This window comes from Homo sapiens, chromosome 18 (assembly GCF_000001405.40).
Source record: "Homo sapiens chromosome 18, GRCh38.p14 Primary Assembly".
Taxonomy (NCBI): domain Eukaryota; kingdom Metazoa; phylum Chordata; class Mammalia; order Primates; family Hominidae; genus Homo; species Homo sapiens.
The window spans coordinates 56,819,020-56,839,516 of record NC_000018.10 but is presented as its reverse complement, the minus strand read 5'-3'; the positions used below and the strand labels follow the sequence as shown (position 1 = coordinate 56,839,516).

The 20,497-nt window shown below is 36.7% G+C and overlaps 1 protein-coding gene across 11 annotated transcripts in view, besides 1 other annotated feature; it reads right to left on the bottom strand.

Moving 5' to 3' along the window:
• Positions 1–20,497, bottom strand: part of WDR7 (WD repeat domain 7) — a 385,248-nt gene that overhangs the window by 197,090 nt on the left and 167,661 nt on the right. The window lies entirely within an intron of this gene.
• Positions 2,759–3,260: an enhancer, noted in NCBI's record as "NANOG hESC enhancer chr18:54503488-54503989 (GRCh37/hg19 assembly coordinates)". NCBI's record gives its function as "activates a minimal SCP1, AML or CMV promoter by ChIP-STARR-seq in primed H9 embryonic stem cells {active_cell/tissue: H9 hESC(primed)}" and the evidence as "EXISTENCE:reporter gene assay evidence [ECO:0000049][PMID:30033119]".

The following is a 20,497-nucleotide window of genomic DNA, read 5'->3' as shown; positions in this document are numbered from 1 at the left end:
AAGAATAGTAATAATTTTAATAACATTATAGACGAGTCATAGTTGAGTCAACTTATTAATCATATAAGTTGAGTCTTATAAGTAAGAGATACACACTGAAACATTAATGACAAAATAATATGATATCTGGAGTTTGCTTTAAAATAATCTAGTGAAGGGAAGAATAGATGAAACAAGACTGACTATATGCTGACAACTATTAAAGAAGGTAACTAGTAAATGGGCGTCCATTATATTATTCTCTTTAATTTTGTGTGTGCTTGCAAATTTCCATAATACAAATAATTTATGCAGACCCTGATTTGATAACTATACATTGTATACAGGTATCAAAATATCACATGTACCTAAAAATATGTACAACTATTTATATATCAATAAAAATATATGAATTATGAGAAAACTTATGCTGAATCAAACTGGCTTTCTTTTGTGTTAATTTAGCTTTGTTAAACACACAAGTATAGAGCATAAACAATATGGAGAATGGTGAATAAGTTAAGGTTTTTATGTGAATAAATGTATGCTAATTACAAAGAAGCCTTAATAATCTTTAAAATAATCATACACAGTTTTTATTTGAAAGTAATAAAAGTCTTGCTTTAACATATTTCTTTTTATATATTTCTAGCTTGTCTATTTAATCCTGTATCTAATTATAAAAAAACTTAAAGCTAATGAAATTTCAAACCCTTAAAAATGATGTTGATGATTAACATGCTCTACACATTGAATACGCAAAACAATTCACATCCCACTTAGCTTAAGCTCCTTAAGATACAGCATCGCATATAAACATCACTCAGTTCTAATTCCAGTTCATGAGAATCTATATGACTGACCTTAAAATACAGGCTGTGTCTTTTTCCCAGCTTTGAGTATATACAGCAAAATTAAAATTAGTACCAAACAATTAAATCAGTAAACAATTTTTTAAAACTTTCTGCTATGGAAACAATTTTGTCGTTCACATTCTTGGGTGTCCCAGGATCAAAATTAAATAGATATAAAATGTACAAATTTAGAAGTAGAAATTTAGTCACTAAAGATTTTGTGTCCATACTCTATCAGCAGATGTCCAAAAATGTTAAGGAAAACTATACTTAACTTCCTCAAACTATTGCATTATTCAAGGGCAGGAGATCCAGTTTGGTACAATCAGTCAACAGTTCAATAAACAGCAAAGAATACAAACCTAAAATTCTCTAAGCTGTATATCCCTGCTTTAGCATAAAATGTCTAAGAACTTAAATAAGGATCAAAGAACATACTTTCAGGTATAAAGAAATAAAAGGCAAAAAAAAAATAATAATAAAGCAACAATGACACACAAATGTTAGCATATGCTGAGTGCTTAGACTTAAATAATACAAACCCAGATGTGTCTTTTATATATCATCATAATGCAGTGCTTTTGTTGAAACACTCTTCACTCTTATTCTTGTTCATAATGCTGGTTAAGATGTAAATGCGTAAATATCTCAGAATTCTGTCTAAATAGAAATGTACTAGTCCTTCATTTTATACTGATATGTACCCATCTTAGTTATGGAATAGTAGTAGGTCAGCTCTTAATGTTCTTCTATTCTTAAAAACAAATCGGCTGGGCACGGTGGCTCACCTGAAGTCAGAAGTTCAAGACCAGCCTGGCCAACATGGTGAAACCCCGTCTCTACTAAAAATACAAAAATTAGCTGGGCATGGTGGTGGGCACCTGTAATCCAGCTACTTGGGAGGCTGAGGCAGGAGAATAGCTTGCACCCAGGAGGCAGAGGTTGCAGTAAGCCGAGATCACGCATATTGCACTCCAACCTGGGCGACAAAAGCGAAACTCCGTCTCAAAAAAAAGAAAAACACATCAAATTATTCACTATAAAATGCTTAATGTTATATAAATTTCATTTCAATAAATCAAAATCTTTCAATATCTCAACTAATTCCCAAGCTATGTTTTCACTTATTTTTCCCTTATGTTTCTTCTTAAATTCACTAATAATGATTTGACAAAGTGGCATTTTAATATACTAATCAAAATTAGAGGTAATAAAACCTGTTTAAAATTTTACAATAGCAAATTATTAAACAGATTCAGCTTGTGACATTTTTACTTAAACTTGTTGGTGATGACAGCTGATGAGAAACATTAATAAATCCAATAACATTTTTCTACACGGCCATTTTGAAAATGTCAGCCATTGCTAATCAATACACTTCTGACTGGTCACAATGGCTCACAAAATGGTCACAATGACTAATTTTGAGATCTCTTTACAAGTCATAACCATAAAAAGCTTTATCTGAATAGTTGCTAGTTTTGTGTGTTCATCCTTTCTCACCGTCGAAAGAGCCAATTATATTGACAGCAATGGTCACGTTTGTTTTTCAAATGCAAATGGTTAAAATGTGAGTGACTTTTAGATTAACCTTCCCAAATTAAATTGCATCTTAACTGCACTGACATCTGTCATTCAAACAGATGTCAGCTCATAAACTTGACAAAGGACAAATTGTTTACACGTTTGTTGTGTGACAGATGTTTATCAGTCACAGCTCTGAGAAGTCATCTTTGAATATAAGATATTCAATGAGTGATTTTTGTTAAACTGTAAAAATATGCAGAAGAATTAATACACTAATAATTATCCTATTAAAATGACAAAAAGGTATTACTGAAAATGCTGTTAAATTATTTTAATTTGAAGTTATATGCCAATATAAAAATTCCCGTTGACTAATGGACTATCTTTTTAGAAGTTTTAGTTGAAAGGCTTCTTTCAAATAATGAAAATCATTACAAAGCATCAATCAAGTAAAATAAAATCATCCTTTGTGTTCATATTATCTTCTTTTATTGATAATTTTATGGAAAATAGATGAAAATAGACGCAAGAAAATGAATATTTTCATATTCAGCATTTGGAGAGGTTAAGTCTGTTTCAGATTTCAAAAAAGCACGCATGTCTAGGGTTGACTGATATACAATAGCAATTGCTAGTATGGTGATGGCTATTCAAAAAGTAGTTAAACGCAAATTAAAAACGTCTTTGATCTCTGTGTGACTGGCTGGTGAAGGAATCACATCCCAAAACATGTGCTGACAGGATCCGCCCTAAAACTCAGAAATGAGGCCCAGCAGGAGCCCTGTCCAGGGGCTGACTGGTGAGGCCCTACATTGTCAGCAACAGTGAGGTAGGGGCTGGTTGCTTGGGAGTGGCAGACGGTTTCGTTTGTTGTATATTTTCACTCTTCACCAAAATTTAGGTGAATCCTGGCCAGACATGAGAGGAAAGTGGCCTTACTGCACCTGCCACATTTACTTCAAAAAGAACGAACTCCAGTTGGAAGAGAATAAGAAAATATCTGTGTAAGTTTGGTTCTAACCACTCAACAAAACATTGTAAATAGTTTACATGACTACTTTGTACATGACTACAAAGCTTTCAATTAATCTTCACATTTTTCTTTTAATTTTCCTTAAAATTAAAACTAAACTCATAAAGCTTTAAAGAAAGCATCTCATATTCAAAGAAAATTATTCTTAGAAAAGTATAAAGTACACTTATACATCAGGTGCCTCACTTCATGAATCATATACAGTCAACTGCAAATATCTAAATATCAAGAAGAATCACAATTTTAATACCAGAGGAACCTGAATTTTTATTTTTTATCCCAAACCAACTTTTCTTAAAGTGATATTTAAAACTAATACAGTATGTGAATAATCTCATACCTACCTGTTTTACTATAACTTTTTGTCAACTTTAAAAACCTAGTAACATAAGACATAAGTTTTAAATCAAGAACTTATACATTCTTATAAATACTCCACCAATAAATATTTGTCACAAAAATGACAGCAGATGCAAAGCGAGCAAAATGAGTTTCACATACTGTTGAGACATGTATAACTTCCTAATCTCCTTGACCAGATACTTACATATACCTACCCTATCCCACAACAATAATCCAGGCAATAACTCTCTAGGTGACCTCTGAAAATCCTGATGATGATTAATGCTGTTGCTTATTTAAAAATTGCATATTTCCAAAATTACTGCAACTCAAGGCATGTCAAGAATGTTTTAAAATCCCTTTATACACTTATAAGTTAGGTACAATACTACAAATGTAAATTATAGACCTACACTGTCCACTAATGCACATATTCTGATCTTAGTACAGCATCTGAAGAAATCTATTAGAGTATTATTATTAACAAGATGAATAAATCTGAATTATGAACAAGATGAAGAATTAGTGAATCCTTTACTAGTTCTTAAGACAAGGGAGGCACATTTTTTGATATTCTAAAGATGTCTCTATTCTACTCTCACATTTCATTGATATTTTGGTGTGGTATACCTTGTTCTACTTTTGAACATACCCTCTTAAACACTGAGCTAATGAGACACTGCAAAAGGGTTACTTTATATTGAGTTGAAAAACCATATTGGAGAGTGACGTCAGGGCTGATGAAAAGGTAGAGAAGATCCCTACCCTTGTGCTGCAGAAGTCTTACTGGGGCCTGCTCAGCAGTTAACTAGTCAACACAGACAACACAGAAGGCTTGTTCATCACATTCACAGAGGTCATAAAGCAGGGAGAAATAACTAATGCACTGAAAAAGATTCCAAGTCTGGATGATGGGCTCAAACCAATAAGACGGAAAGCAGAAAGAACAAATATCAAGCCCTGCTTCTAAACTGGGAAGACTTGAATTAATAGCACTTCATATAAAATCTGACATTTTAAACGATTCCACTTTTAGCAGACAAAAATGTGGGATGCCTTCTAAAGTAAACCAGTTTAATTTCAAAATTATACACCATCCAGATAAAGGAAGAAAATAGTTGTGTAATACTTGCACTGGTCTGCTAGTGGGGGCATGGTCCATTCTGGGTACCACCTTCTAAGGAATATCACTGATAAAACATAGTACATACAAATGGAAGAGAGAAGGGTCTAGAAATCAGGTCACACGAGATATTGTTGAAGGACAAAGAGAAGACAAGGAGGGAGATCTCTTGCTCTATCACACAAACAAAACAAGCAAAATATGGAAGGAACGAAATTGCAAGCAGTGAGCCCCACAACTGGATAGGTGTGTATGTAGGGAGACTATTCTAAGGTAACCAACCCCCAGTGAGTCACATCGTTATACCACCCCTTGGCCTTGAGTAAAGGCAGGATCTGTGACTTACTACTAACCAGTGGACGACAGCAAAGTCATGGGAGGCCACTTCCATAATAAGATTACTTTGTACAGCACTCTCATGATTAGGTTTCAATCTATATACAACTCCACCTTGCTGGCACCTAGTAGAGAGATTGTTGTGCTGTCTTCAAAGATGCAAGCTGTTATGAAGGGAAATGCCTATGGATAGGGCCACACGGCAGGGAACTGAGGATGGCCTCTAGGAGCTGAGGACCTCAATCCTATAACTGCAAGGAACTGAATTGTGCCATTAAGAATGTGAGATTGGAAGAGGACCAAAAGCCTCAGATAAGACTTAGCCATGGTTAATGCCTTGACTGAAGCCTTTTGTGTCCTAGAGCAGAGGACATAGCTAAGCTGAACCCAGATTCCCTAACCCATGGAAACTATGAGATAATAAATGTGGGTATTTTAAACTACATTTGTGCTAATTTATTATGTAGCAATAGGAAAATTAATACAGTGTGTAAGCAAAAGTTCGGTAACCTTTATGTTCAGTGATGTGGTATGAAGGATTCTTTGAGACGGGAAAGATTGGTCTAGAATATAAAATCTAGCTACCAGATTATGAATAAGTCTTTCCAACTTTAAGAAACTATATAGCAAAATGAGGTGGGGGTTAAAGAAAAGATTTTTATATGGCACATGAATGACACTAATATTCTCTACACCAAATTCATAAAAACCCACTTATACAACAATTTAACTGACGTTTGTAACGCAGACATTCATTTTATTGGAATGTTTTATTTAATACTAGGTACCAATTAGCTTATATTAATTATAAACCTAGAGGACTTTAGATATTTAGAATGCTTTATTTTTTTTATTATACTTTAAGTTCTGGGATACATGTGCAGAACATGCAGGTTTGTTACATAGGTTACATCAACCCCTCATCTACATTAGGTATTTCTCCTAATGCTATTCCTCCCATAGTCCCATAGTCCCATATTTTCACATAGTCCCATATTTCTTGGAGGCTTTGTTCATTCCTTTTCATTCCTTTTTCTCTAATCTTGCCTTCACAATTTATTTCATTAAGTTGATCTTCAATCTCTGACATGCCTTCTTCCGCTTGACCAATTCTGCTACTAATACTTGTGTATGCTTCACGAAGTTCTCGTGCTGTGTTTTTCAGTTCCATCAGGTCGTTTATGTTCTTCTCTAAACTGGTTATTCTAGTTAGCAGTTCCTGTAACCTTTTATCAAGGTTCTTAGCTTCCTTGTATTGGGTTAGAACACGCTCCTTTAGGTTCAAGGAGTTTGTTATTACCCACCTTCTGAAGCCTACTTCTGTCTCTTCGTCAAACTCATTCTCTGTCCGGTTTTGTTCCCTTGCTGGCGAGGAGTTGTGATCCTTTGGAGGAGAAGAGGCATTCTGGTTTTAGGAATTTTCAGCCTTTTTGCGCTGGTTTTTCCTCATCTTCATGGATTTATCTACTTTGGTGTTTTCTGTTGGTGACCTTCAGATGGGGTTTTTGTGTGGGTGTTCTTTTTGTTGATGTTGATGCTATTCCTTTCTGTTTGTTAGTTTTCCTTTTAACAGGCCCCTCTTCTGTAGGTCTGCTGGAGTTTGCTGGAGGTCCACTCCAGACCCTGTTTGCCCAGGTATCACCAGTGGAGACTGCAGAACAGCAAACATTGCTGCCTTATCCTTTCTCTGGAAGCTTCGTCACAGAGGGGCACCTGCCAGATGCCAGCCAGAGCTCTCCTGTATGAGGTGTCTGTTGACCCCTGCTGGGAGGTATCTCCCAGTCTGGAGGCACGGGAGTCAGGGTCCCACTTGAGGAGGCAGTCTGTCCCTTAGCAGAGCTCTAGCGCTGTGCTGGGAGATCTGCTGCTCTCTTCAGAGCCAGCAGGCTGGAACGTTTAAGTCTGCTGAAGCTGCAACCACAGCCGCCCCTTTCCCCGGGTGCTCTGTCCCAAGGAGATGGGAGTTTTATCTAAAGTCTCTGAGTGGGGCTGCTGCTTTTCTTTCAGAGATGCCCTGCCCAGAGAAGAGGAATCTAGAGAGGCAGTCTTTCTACAGTGGCTCTGTGGCCCTGCGGTGGGCTCCGCCCAGTCCAAGCTTCCGGAAGCTTTGTTTACACCGTGAGAGGAAAACCGCCTACTGAAGCCTCAGTAATGGCAGACACCCCTGCCCCCACCAAGCTCAAGCATTCCAGGTCAACCTCAGACTGCTGTGCTGGCAGTGAGAATTTCAAGCCTGTGGATCTTAGCTTGCTGGGCTCTGTCGGGGTGGGAACTGCTGAGCAAGATCACTCGGCTCCCTGGCTTCAGCCCTCTTTCCAGGGGAGTGAACGGTTCTGATGTGCTGATGTTCCAGGTGCCACTGGGGTATGAAAGAAAAAAAAATCCTGCAGCTAGCTTGGTGTCCGCGCAAACAGCCACCCAGTTTTGTGCTTGAAACCCAGGGCCCTGGTGGTGTAGGCACACGAGGGAATCTCCTGATCTGCAGGTTGTGAAGACCATGGGAAAAGCATAGCATCTGGGTTGGACAGCACTGTCCCTCATGGCACAGTCCCTCAGGGCTTCCTTTGGTTAGGGGAGGGAGTTCCCCAACCCCTTGTGTTTCCTGGGTGAGACGACGCCTCACCCAGCTTCTGCTCACTGTCCATGGGCTGCACCCACTGTCCTAACCAGTCTCAGTGAGATGAACCAGGTACCTCAGTTCGAAATGCAGAAATCACCCACCTTCTGGGTTGGTCTCGCTGGGAGCTGCAGATGGGAGCTGTTCCTATTTGGCCATCTTCAGAATGTTTTAAATAAATATAAACAAATGCCATTTCAAGCACTTGCGCTACCTTTGTTCGGGCCCCTGCCAGCTGGAACCTAGACCACTGCTTACCCCGACTTGCCCCAGCATCATTCCCCAGTATTTTCAGCATCTATTGTCAGAGTGGTCTAGACTCTTTATTCATTCCAGCTAGTCCCCTGAATATGAGTAAAGCAGCTCAGCCAACAAACAGAGCCTTTCATCATCTGGCCTGCCTTTAGCATCCCCTCTTGTTAGTCCTGACCCTGTTCCCACTCTATACACATTCACAGGGAACCACTTACTCTTCCTCCCAAATGGCTGTACCACCTCTTGCTCTCTCTCCCTCCCAGGATTTGACTCTTTCTGAAAACTCTTTCACTCTCCCCTTTTTCCTAGCTAATTCCTTGAAGTTCAAAGATGCTCAGCCGGTGTATCATGAACTCCTACAGGGACTCTCCCAGGCTGGGTTGATGTACAAAGTTTAGTCTGGCTACACTGAAGATCATGCTTCTACAGTGGCAGTCATCTGTCAGATATCCCATTAAGCTGCACAGAGTGAATACCACATCCTGCATATCAGTAAAAAGTGTGCTAGAGGAGGTCAGGAGTTCAAGACCAGCCTGACCAACATGGTGAAACCCCGTCTCTACTAAAAATATAAAAATTAGCTGTGATGGTGGCACAGTGCTTATAATCCCAGCTACTCAGGAGGCTGAGGCAGGAGAATCGCTGGAACCCAGGAGACAGAGGTTGCAGTGAGCCGAGATTGTGCCACTGCACTCCAGCCTGGGCGACAGAGCGAGACTCCATCTCAAAAAAAAGTGTGCTGGGACAGCAAGCCAGACCCGCTGAAAGATCACTTGTTTAAGGGCATCTGCCAGAACTTCCACACAAATATATCTGAGTGAGTCAGACACCCTTAGTATCACAAGTATCGAAGATGTATAGTGCAGCGCCCAGAGGTGATCTAGAGGTAGCACCATGATGGTGATTATTACTAGTGACACGCTGAACTGGGCTGTATGGCCGGAATTTTCTTAACAGATCTTTTCCTATTTTTTAGAAGTCCTCTTCCCTAATTCCTAAGTCAATTGATAAATTCATCATGAGAAAATAATGAGGGCATTAGCAATGATGCTTGAGCAAGTTTGACAGTAGTGAGTAATGCCAAACCAAATTTTAAAAAAATTCATCATGAAGAATAGCTTTCCATGAACAGAAGAATGACCCCTTCTATTGTGTGCCGTGTATGGTGAAAACCCATAAGAGTATAAATGTCATTTTATGATGAATCGTATACATTTTACACCAAAACATCAAAATTATTTTAGATCATGAAGGGCAACAAAATCAACGCAACTGAAACACTGTGATAAAATTCAAGAGTGTGGTAAACTCAGGGCACCTGTACTGCATCTCACTTTTTCTTCTAAGTGCTCCCAAATCATATTTAACAATTCGCTGCAGACTTCCGGTATATGTGGACAGTACACTAACCAATTTAGAGCTGCTTGGATCCAATTTTCCCCATTTTTTAAAAAACAAAGACTTGTTGGACATTTGACTTTAGAAAACTCTGTGTTGTTATTTTCTAACTTTTCAATTTTAGACTTATCTATCTTTAAACTTATGATCCTCAACTATGGTCAATAAAAATTGGGTTCTCCTTTACATAAACACAACTTGCATACATCACATACACACTCCACATTCACACATTCACATACCACATTCACACGCTTTCTCCTGCCTTCTTCCTCCTGTGCCTCCCAATTTATATCACAGTTCTTAATAAAATTACATCATAATTAAGGTTGATAGTTTCACAATCTGTGCATGTTATGCATAACTCAATCATGTGGTTTTTGATAACTTTATCAGCACTGCTTTTTTTCCCTCCTTGCAGTCAATAACTGTCTTTTGTTATTTACTTGATTCTCTTTATATTTCAGTAATTTATCCCCAAATTCTCACCCAGAAGTGTAAATCTGTTATACAAGGGAGTAGATTCAGGAGCAGAAATCAAGCCTACCCTGGAAAATGGAACAGTTAGAACTTGCCAAATATCCAGAACATAAGGAAACTTATTAAATCAATACAGTCACGGAGACTTTCCACATGGGGAGGGGGTGCTGGACTTTGCAGCCTAAATGCTTCTCTCTCAGATTTCCCTTTTCCAAGTAACCCTCAGGGTGGCTAGGTTTCTGAGGGTTACAGTCCTATTTTGTGTGTGTGTGTGTGGTAGGGGGAGGTTGGGGTTTGTTTATTATTTTTTTTTTTTACAGAAGGCCTCCCTCTGTCACCCAGGCTGCAGTGCAGTGGTGCAATCATAGTGATCATTTTGTCTCAGCCTCCCAAGTAGCTGAGACTACAGGTGCACACCACCACACTCAGCTAAATTTTTTTTTTTTTTTTTTGGAGAGGTGAAGTTTCACTATGTTGCCGCGGGCTAATCTTGAACCCCTGGTCTGAAGCTATCCTCGTATGTGAGCCACTGTGCTCAGCCCTGAGCAGCATGTTCCTAAGGGATGTTGCCTAAAACAATGAGATGGGGGTTTGAAAGTATCAAGGGGCAAGACAGGTTTTATAAGGTTTATATAAAGGGTTATATAAAGATTATCTGGATCACTAGATCCTCAGCTTCCTCTTTCTTGGTTTACTTTCTCAATTTTGGAGGCACACATCCTCCACTAGTTCTTAAGACATAGGAGGCACATTTTTTGATAACCTGCATTTCTAAAACTGTCTATATTCTACTCTCACATTTAGTTGAATTTTGCTGTGGTACACCGTGCTCTGTTTTTGAACACACCCTCTTAAAAACTGAGCTGATGACAAACCATCCTTTGCAAGTATGAGAGTTATATTAAACATTCCCCCTTTTATCTTTCTCGGCAAGACTATTTAATGATAGTATGGTGAAGATCCTCTTTTAACCTTCAGATTTTAAAAAATATTTTAATTAATATTTAATATTTTAAGGTATCTTTCTCCATGGACCATATCCGTCTTGTCTATTATTTTTCAAACATGTTTTCTAAAGTCTAGTAATGACTGTCAACTAAATGGCCACATCAGAACATTCGGAAAGCTTGTCTCCATTATCTCTCCTTTTTACCCCTCACTTCACCATTGGCTGAACTCAGCTATGCATATGCAAATTAACTCTTCCTCAGCTACTTTTTCTTTTAAAGCTGCAGTTATGTCTGTTTCGTCAAATAATTCACCTTCATGGTCAAATTCAACTCAGACAATAAATGTGATAAAAGAAATCAATATAAAAGTGTTTAAGAAAATATAATTTATCAATATTTCACGAGCCAACTTTTATAAATTTGTGAAAATTTGAAGTGGTAGTTTGGATATGGCTTAGTTCTTGATCTGTAAAGTATAAATGTTTCTAGCAAGTTTATATCCTTGTAAAGGATAGTCAAACTACCTAGAATAAACACCACTAAGTCACTCAAAACTGATTTATAAATGATGTTAGTTATCAACCATTTATGTTATTAAAGCAAATCACTTAAGGATGATGGTGGTAATGAGAAGGGAAGTGAGGCAAGAAGCCTATCATATTTATTGAGCACTTACTATGCTCCAGTTCTTCTAAAAACATTCCATGCATCATCTCATTTAATCCTCAAGACAATCTTTTTTGTTTTTTGCTGTTTTTTTTAAATTTTTCATTTTTGTGGGTATATAGTAGGTGCATATATTTATGGGGTACATGAGATATTCCAATACAGGCATACAATTTGCAATAATCACATCATGGGAAATGGAATATCCATCTTCTCAAGCATTTATCCTCCATGTTATCAACAATCCAATTACACTCTTTTACTTATCTTTAAATGTACAACTAAATTATTTTGACTATGGTCACCCTGTTGTTCTACCAAATAATAGGTCTTATTCATTCTTTCTACCTATTTTTGTACCCATTAACCACCCCTCCCCCAACCCCCACTACCCTTCCCAGACTCTGGTAGGCTCTCTACCCTCCTTCTACTCATGGACATAGGTCCATGAGTTCAATTGCTTTGATTTTTAGATCCCATAAATGAGAACAGGCGACATTTGTCTTTCTGTGCCTGCCTTATTTCACTTAACAGAATGATCTCCAGTTCCACCTAGGTTGTTGTAAATGATTGGTCTCATTCTTTTTTATGGCTGAATAGTACTCCATTGCTCCATTGTGATTATGTCCCACATTTTCTGTAGCCATTCATCTGTCTCCTAATAACCTTATTATCCTCATATTTCAGGTGAGAAAATTGAGGCTTAGCACAGTCAAGTAACTCAAATAAGGGCATACAATGAACAAGTAAGGAAGCTGTCCTTACAGTCTGTCTGCTCTGGGCAAGGCCATTCTTCTTCTCACTCCCTCCACAGCTAATTATTTCTAAGTCTGTAAACTAACAGCTTGAGCTTGGAAGCTTTTCCCATGTCTCTCCACCTCCGCAATAAGCGCAGGCTTACCTCTTACATAACTCCTACCCTTAACTAAGCTCAGTACTCTGAATTCTCCCAGCTACAGAGAATATGCACATATATGTCATCTGTGCACTTGCATGCAGACATATCTAAAATTTGATCATTGCCTTCTCATCTAGAGGCTTGCTTTATTAAATCCCCCATAGAATGTGCTGATAGAAGACATAAGGCACTTATTCATGTTTTATTGAATAAAACTGAATATTCCTTATACTCCTTTTCAGTGGTACTAACCACACTGAAAAAATACATTTACAGAAAGGGTAAACAAAGAAAGAGTAGCTGGTTCTGATTCCCTGAATCCTTTCACACTGGATTTAATTCATCCATCTTTATTTAGGATAAATAGTTATAACAAAAAAGATGAGAAAATACTCTCAATATTTATCCTACCTATGAGTGAGGACTCCTCTTTCTAGTATGTCACGTGAGGAGAAAATACATTCAGGTTTATGGCTATCTTCACTTCAAATATTAAATATTACCTTTCATTTGTAATTTAAAACTTCAAATTAAGAGCAAAAGCTTTTACACTTGCAAGTGACTTGAAACCAAGAAATCATGGGGAAAGTCACAGATGATAGTAAATTTAATTATCTTTTTGTGTATTAAAAATGACTATGAAGTATCAGGAAGAAGGAGTCTTCAGAACCCGACATCTATTTTAAAACCTGTTTTTCCCCTTTAACATGGTTTGCACAGTAAAAGCAATCATTCACAGGTATGACATAGAGTCTGTGAATTATGAGACATTGTTGTCATTACTTTTGTGAATTACAACTTTTGGTCATATGAGTTTGATATCAATTATAAGGGCAATTCATGTAATATATAGATATATAATAGTGTGCCACAATCTAATGTAATTCACCCTTATCCATGAGTTATTATTACACAGCTCACAAAAGGCCAGACTTTAAGTTCATCCTGAAGGTTATTCACTCACAAGGATGGCTTCCCTCTACCACCCACCTGCCCTCCCCCAACCCCAATGCAGCATCTACATTATTATCCAACTAAGTATTTCTGCTTTTTTCCTGTTTGGTCTAAATTTAGCAAAAGAAATATATAATAGTTAATGCGAAACTCAAAACTTAAGGCTTTCTGATCTAATACTGTTTATGTGTTGGTGTATTTATGTGTGTGGTTTTATATGAACACGAGGTAGAAATTCTAGTTTATCTAGACAATACATAAAATTATCTTCATATACTGAATTTCTATGTTTCTCCTTTAAGAAAACAGGAAGTATTTTCTTCACATTTCAAACACTTCCTTGTACTACACAAAAAAGTTAAGCTATATTAAAAATTAAAATAGAAATTTCTATATATCACAAAAAGAAAATGACAAGTCATAATATATGTGTTTCTTTTTTCTCTTGTAAGGTTTATAAATGACTTGATTTTTTAAAAATTACTTCAATTTAAAAGCACAAGATCTAGAAGCAATAGCCCAGCTTCAAATCCTGACTTTGTCATTTCCTATCTGTGGCTTTTATGTGGCAAGTAACTTTACCATTCTGTGCCTCATTTTCTTCTCCTGTAAAACGGAAGCAATAATGAAGGCATCACATGAATTGTGTGAGGATTTAAAAGAGCATAGAGCCAGTCTGACACATATTAAGTACTCAATAAATGCTGCTAAGTCATTGAGATAGTTATTACTTTAAGTTCTTGATTTTGCAATGTGTTCTTTTACATAAGTTTGCAAAGATGGTGTTAATTACTATTTATTTGCCCAAACCCCTTGCAAAAATATTACATGCAAACAACCTTTACATGCACACACAAAAAATAAAAGTGCCCTTACTGGAAAATAGTATTATGAAAGATTTGGTGCCAAGGCAACAGTTGATTAAAGACTCTGGCTTTTGCTGACAGAATCCATCCTAGAAACGAGGAGGCACAGTTACCAGAGCAAGGAAGAAAAGGGTGACTGAAGAGGCAGCAACCAAATAGGGATTCCCAGACTTTGAAGAAACTGGGACCATCATCCACAAGTACATCTCCACTGTCTACCAAACCTGCAAGAGCCAAGGCAGACCACAGAAAGGGGATTCTCTGAGAATTCTATCAGGTCTAGTTCTCTGCTCGTGCAATTCCAATAGCACATCCCAACTTCCACCTGCTCATTAAGACAAGTTACAAAGCACATTTGTTCCAGGTTTTTGTTCTATCTTTTCTTATTTAAATCTATGTATCACATCCTTCTCCTAATTTTGAACACGTATTATTTTCCAAGAGAAAAAGATAAACTTTTAAACAGAAACAATAGTGACTAACTCGGTAGAGCTAATTATGTTCTTAGATGTGTTCCCAGTCTCATTTTCATAATATCAAGAGATAATTTATCTACAAATAAGCCTACATCACCTCACTAATGTGTTACCAAGATGTTTTGAGTCATTTAAATAGCCACTAAGAAGATGGGCAGGGAGGTTAAGGAGATATAAACTATGTAAGTATAGGAAGGATATAGCAAATGTGTTTAAGTAAATACACAGTGTATAAGGAGTGCTGCTTGAAATATGAGTAACCTTATGGATTAATTCAACCATTCATTCAATAAACATTTATTGAGAAGATGCTATGTACCAGCTATTCTAGTGCTAGGCATACAAGAAGGTAAAAGTCACATGCCCACATGACTCAGAAAGTGCAAGTGAAATGATCACTTAACAAAATTACAGATGTCATTATTGCTACATATTATTAAGCTGCAAGAGCAGAAGTGTGTACAATGAACAGGGAGATATTATATAAGAAGGGTCCAGATAGGATCCATGAAGATGACGACACTCAAGCTGAATTTGAGGGGAATTCTTGGAATTTCATCCCATATGTCAGAGTTAAGAGCATGCCAGTCAGATGGAGGGGCACATGCAAAGTATGAATCACAAAATAGCAGGGTACTCTGGGGAACAAAGTTAAGTACTGCTTTAGCTGATGACATCAGAGATATAAGTCAGCCCTTGAAGAACCCTAGATATCTCACCAAGGTATTTAGATTTGGAGCTATATTCAATGGGAAGTCATTAAGTAGCTGTTAATGAGGGTGAAGGGTGATGAACTGGCTTCTTAAACTCTCAGAGTCATGGAAGACATGATCTGGATGAGATAAGAGAATGAAGACAGGGAGATGGTTGCAGGAAAATGCAACGATAATCTGAAGAAGAAAAAATGCAAGGCTGGATCTAGGTATTCTCTGTGGAAACAGAGAAGACAAAAACCACTGAGAGATATTTAAGAGGCACATTTTACAAGAACTTACACCAACCGTATGTGGACATTGTTAAAAAGTGGGAAAGCCAGGATTATCCTTGGACTTCAAGTTTGAGATGTCAGGTCATTAACGGTACCATTAGTGATGTGCCTTTAACTGAGGTATACATATGAAAGAAGGTGAGGTTTAGGAAGAAACATAGCTCCTTTTTTGTTTTTTTGTTTGTTTGAGAGACGGAGTCTTGCTCTGTCGCCCAGGCTGGAGCGCAGGGATGTGATCTCAGCTCACTGCAACCTCCGCCTCCTGGGTTCAAGCGATTCTCCTGCCTCATCTTCCCAAGTAGCTGGGATTAAAGGCACCTGCCACCACTATGAATACAAATAATTTTTGTATTTTTTAGTAGAGATGGGTTTATACTATATGTTGACCAGGGTGGTCTCGAACTCCTGACCTCAGATGATCCGCAGGCCTCGGCCTCCCAAAGTGCTGGGATTACAGGCACTAGCCACCGAACTGGCCTATAGCTCCTTTTGCACTTGGTATTTAGGTATCTACAGGACATTCAGGCAGGAGGACATACGAATCTGATATTGAAAAGAGAAGGCTAGGTTGGAGATACAGATTTGATTGACAGTCATTAACATACAAGTGGTAGTTACCAAAGAACAGAAAAAGTAAATCACCCAGAGAGAAAATACGAGAAAAGAAAGTGTATCTCAGTTTTACACAGCATCATTTTTTTCTGTATTTTAATATTCATGTCAAAAACTTTCTCAAATACTGTATTTAGAAACATTCTACTTGTCCTTCAACACAAACTAAAGCTGAGCATTAAACACTAAACAAGAAAGAAATATTTTCATATACGGTTTCTTCTCCCAGATTTTTTTTAAAAAAGGACAAAAAGGTAAATTATTTGAAATGACATAGTTCACTCAGAAAACTATGAAATTTACACTTTTATTTTTCTTAATATCTGTTTTCATGAAAACTGCAGAGTTAAAAAACAAAAACCATAGCTTTAGTAATTTATAATTACTAAGAGCCTTAATATAGTAAACTCATATATTTTGTAGTAGCTAACATTCTGAAGTCAAAAGCAAGGGTAGTGATAATTTAGAAGTGACTTAAAATTCACATACATCTAAACTACTTTTTAGGCTGTTAAATATCAGTTAAAGAATGAGAAAGGCAGAGGGTGCGGGTGGAAGTCTCTTATTCTAGTTTACAAATTATACAGCCTCTGACTCCGGGCTAGGAAAGAACGTCTGGTTTCTGAATACATAATATGCCGTATTTTGTTCTTTGGAGCTTATCTGTACTTTAACAGGGTAAATTTCCTATCTTTCATTCAGAACAAATGTAAAAACATCTTATGAATAGGACCTTCAGTAAGTAAATGCACAAATCAATATTTAGTCTCAGACTAGACATCTTTTTCAGTTCTATTTTAAAATAGATGTTGACTTTAGTGTATAAACATATTAATGTATCAGTTTTATACTGATGACTTCAAAAAGCTGGACACAACAATGAACATTTACACGTATGTAATAAACTGACAGTTTAGTAATGAAAAATACTTCTATTTATATTATTATGTTACAACAGTCCTAAATAATGTTTGAAAATTTAAAGAACGAATATGCGGTGATTTTTTTCCTAATGGAGATAATCTCTTGGTCTAAATTTAGAATAACAAATTTGCATTTTAAATAATGGGACTAGATGGACACAGTAGCACACCTGTAGTACCAGCTACTCGGGAGTTTGAGGAGAGAGGATAGCGTGAGCCCAGTTTTTCCTTTGTTTTTATTGAGACAGAGTCTTGTTCTGTCACCCAGTCTGGAGTGCAGTGGTTCGAACATGGCTCACTGCAGCCTCGACCTCCTGAGCTCAAGTGATCCTCCCAGCTCAGCCTCCCACGTAGCTGGGACCACAGGTGCGCACCACCACACCTAGCTAACTTTTAATTTTTTTTTTTGTAGAGATAGGGTATCTCCCTGTTGTGTAGGATAGTCTCAAATGCCTGGCCTCAAGCAATCCTCCTGCCTTAGCTCTCCAAAGTGCTGGGATTATGGGTGTGAGCCACTATTCATGCCCAGCCAAACCCAAGAGTTTGAGACCAGCCTAGGCAACAGAGACCACATGTCAAAAAAAAAAAAAGGAGGGGTATGCAGGGGGAATAATGATGAGATTAGATATCCAGCAAAGTAACTACCTCTTATCATAAACAATCAAGGTAAACTGTGACATCATCTCATATTTCAAAAGAAAATGAAAATCTTCCAAAGTTTAATGTGTTACTTTGAGAATGTGAGGCAGTGCAGAGTAGGGCTTAAGACCACACATCAGCTTTGGAATCAGGTAGGACTCACTTTAATCCCAGATCTATTACCTGGTACATATGTGACCCTGTAAAAGTTATCTCTCTCAGCTTGTTTCCTCAACTACATATCTGGAAATATATTAGTATCTACTTCAAAGTAATTTCATAAGGCTCATGTGTAATGTGCTTGATAAAAGAAAGTTGTCAAGTGATATTACTTTTAACTTCTCTTACCCTTCTCTATTTTTTCTTCTTTCCATGGCAGCTCTCATCTTCTAATATACTGCATATTTATTTACTTCTTCTTCTTCTTATTGTCTGCCTCCCTCCATGAAAATGTAAGCTCCACAAGGACAAGTGTGATTGCCTATTTTATTCAATGGCATATCCTAAACAGTGTCTGGCAGTAAAGTACTCAAAAATATTTACTGATTGAATGAGTAGATGACTACTGAGAGGATTACTACACACTATTAATGATACTATATAATATTACTTTTCATCATTACTACATCTTTTCATTTTCATTCAGTTATATAGACTTTTTTGAATGAAAGGTCAAATCATATGTTTTGGGACACTAGGTATCAATCATGTAAGTTTTTTAAGAAAGAATGATATTAATTTATTTGATTGTAAAAGGAGAACATAAGCTAGTCTCTAAGATCATACCTACAAAAAAAATTTGATTCTATAATCCAAGAAAAACAAAAGCACATTTATAGAAAACTTACATCAATTTACTGTAAGACAGGACATCTTCTCAGAAACTTAAAACCTTAAATCAGTAAAATACACAGCTGTAAAGAATTAGATTTAAAATATATGTCTGTACAACGTAACTGAGGGCAGGGGGAGGAGGGATACAGACACATGTAAGTTCTGTCAGCACTAAATACACAGGAATAGCAAAATACATTATTCTCTGCATCTATTAATGAGTAATGGGAAGATATATATTTGCTCCTGAATGAGTAATCAAAATGTAGCTAATTATAATTTAACAAAAAATGCATCAAAAAGTAAAATAAGTACAGTCGACCCACCCATTGGGATCCACGTATCATTGCTGCTTTTGTAGTTGAATCTGTCAACTGTGCTGCTGATCTAGTATCAAGGTGGTTTTTTTTTTTTTTTTTTTTTTTTTGACAATGTCAGTGACTCTTGACCCTTTATCATCGTTTTTGGTCAGTTTGTGTCCTTGCTGTATTGAACAAGAGGTAAGACACCAAACTATGACCCTCAGAAGAATATAGGAACTTTCTTAAAGGCATACATGCAGGTTTGTGAATGAAACCCTTCCAAAATTCTGTTCAGCCTGCAATTAAGGTGAGGTTGTTTTTAGATGCAGTATTTAGAGGGTGTATCACTTCACCCACAATCAGAATGCTATACTGTACCATGATAAAAGACACATAAAATTAACTAAGTCACAGGAAGGTCTCACTTAAGCAGATTATGATCAATCCAAAATTTCTTCTATGTACGTCAGCTTTAGTGAGATTTACTCCATTAGTATAATTATGACCTATTAATAACATACTATAAATAGGAAAGTGTTATTTATAAATGTCAGTTATATATCTACATAGCAATTAAGTGATAATACTGGAAATAAAAGTATACATATAAAAGCAAACACACAGGTATACAGTACTCTTCTTGTGACTCAAATTATAATCTAGAATCAACACTATTGTTTTGTTTTAAATTCTATTAAGCAGTTAAAACAGATTCTAAATATACAGAGTATTATAAATCCTAAAGCAACGTCATTGAAAAGTACATTTCCCATGCATATTGTAATAGGTTTTAATATTGAATGTAATAGGTTTAATATTGAATGTAATAGGTTTGAATATTGAATAGGTTTTAATATGAAATAGGTTTTAATATTTTTCTACTTAAAACAACATTAATCCGCCAAGAGGGCTAATATGTCTATGATATATAATTTAAAACCTATGGTTAAAGGAAAGAATTTGATGAACCTCAAGACAGAACGCTAAGTAAAACTGAGTATGTGTGTTGACCAAGGCACACTGGCATTACTCTGTAGAGCCGATCAATAGATATTAGCTTTAAAAAGAGAGATAGAGAAAGAAGCTGCAGCATATTTTTTAAATGACAGAGTGAAGATTTAAATTGTATCAATCAAGACCCAATTTTTTTCCTCCTAGTCTTTCCAGCTGTTCTCTTCCAGTTAAGATTCTTCGCTTCAAATAAATTTAATTAGTTCCAATTGATCATAGCCAACACTTGTACAGCTTAATCCATGTGTCTTTACTTTGATAAGGCAAATGCTAACAAAGGCTACTAGGCTCAGATTCAACTGTCATAAAACAGTATTCATACCTAACCCATTTGTACCCAAAAGAAAAATTTCAAAAAGTATTCTGCCTTTAGTGAAAGCATTATATTATACCTCATATTTTAATTGTTATCTTGCTCAGACTGTTTCTAGAAA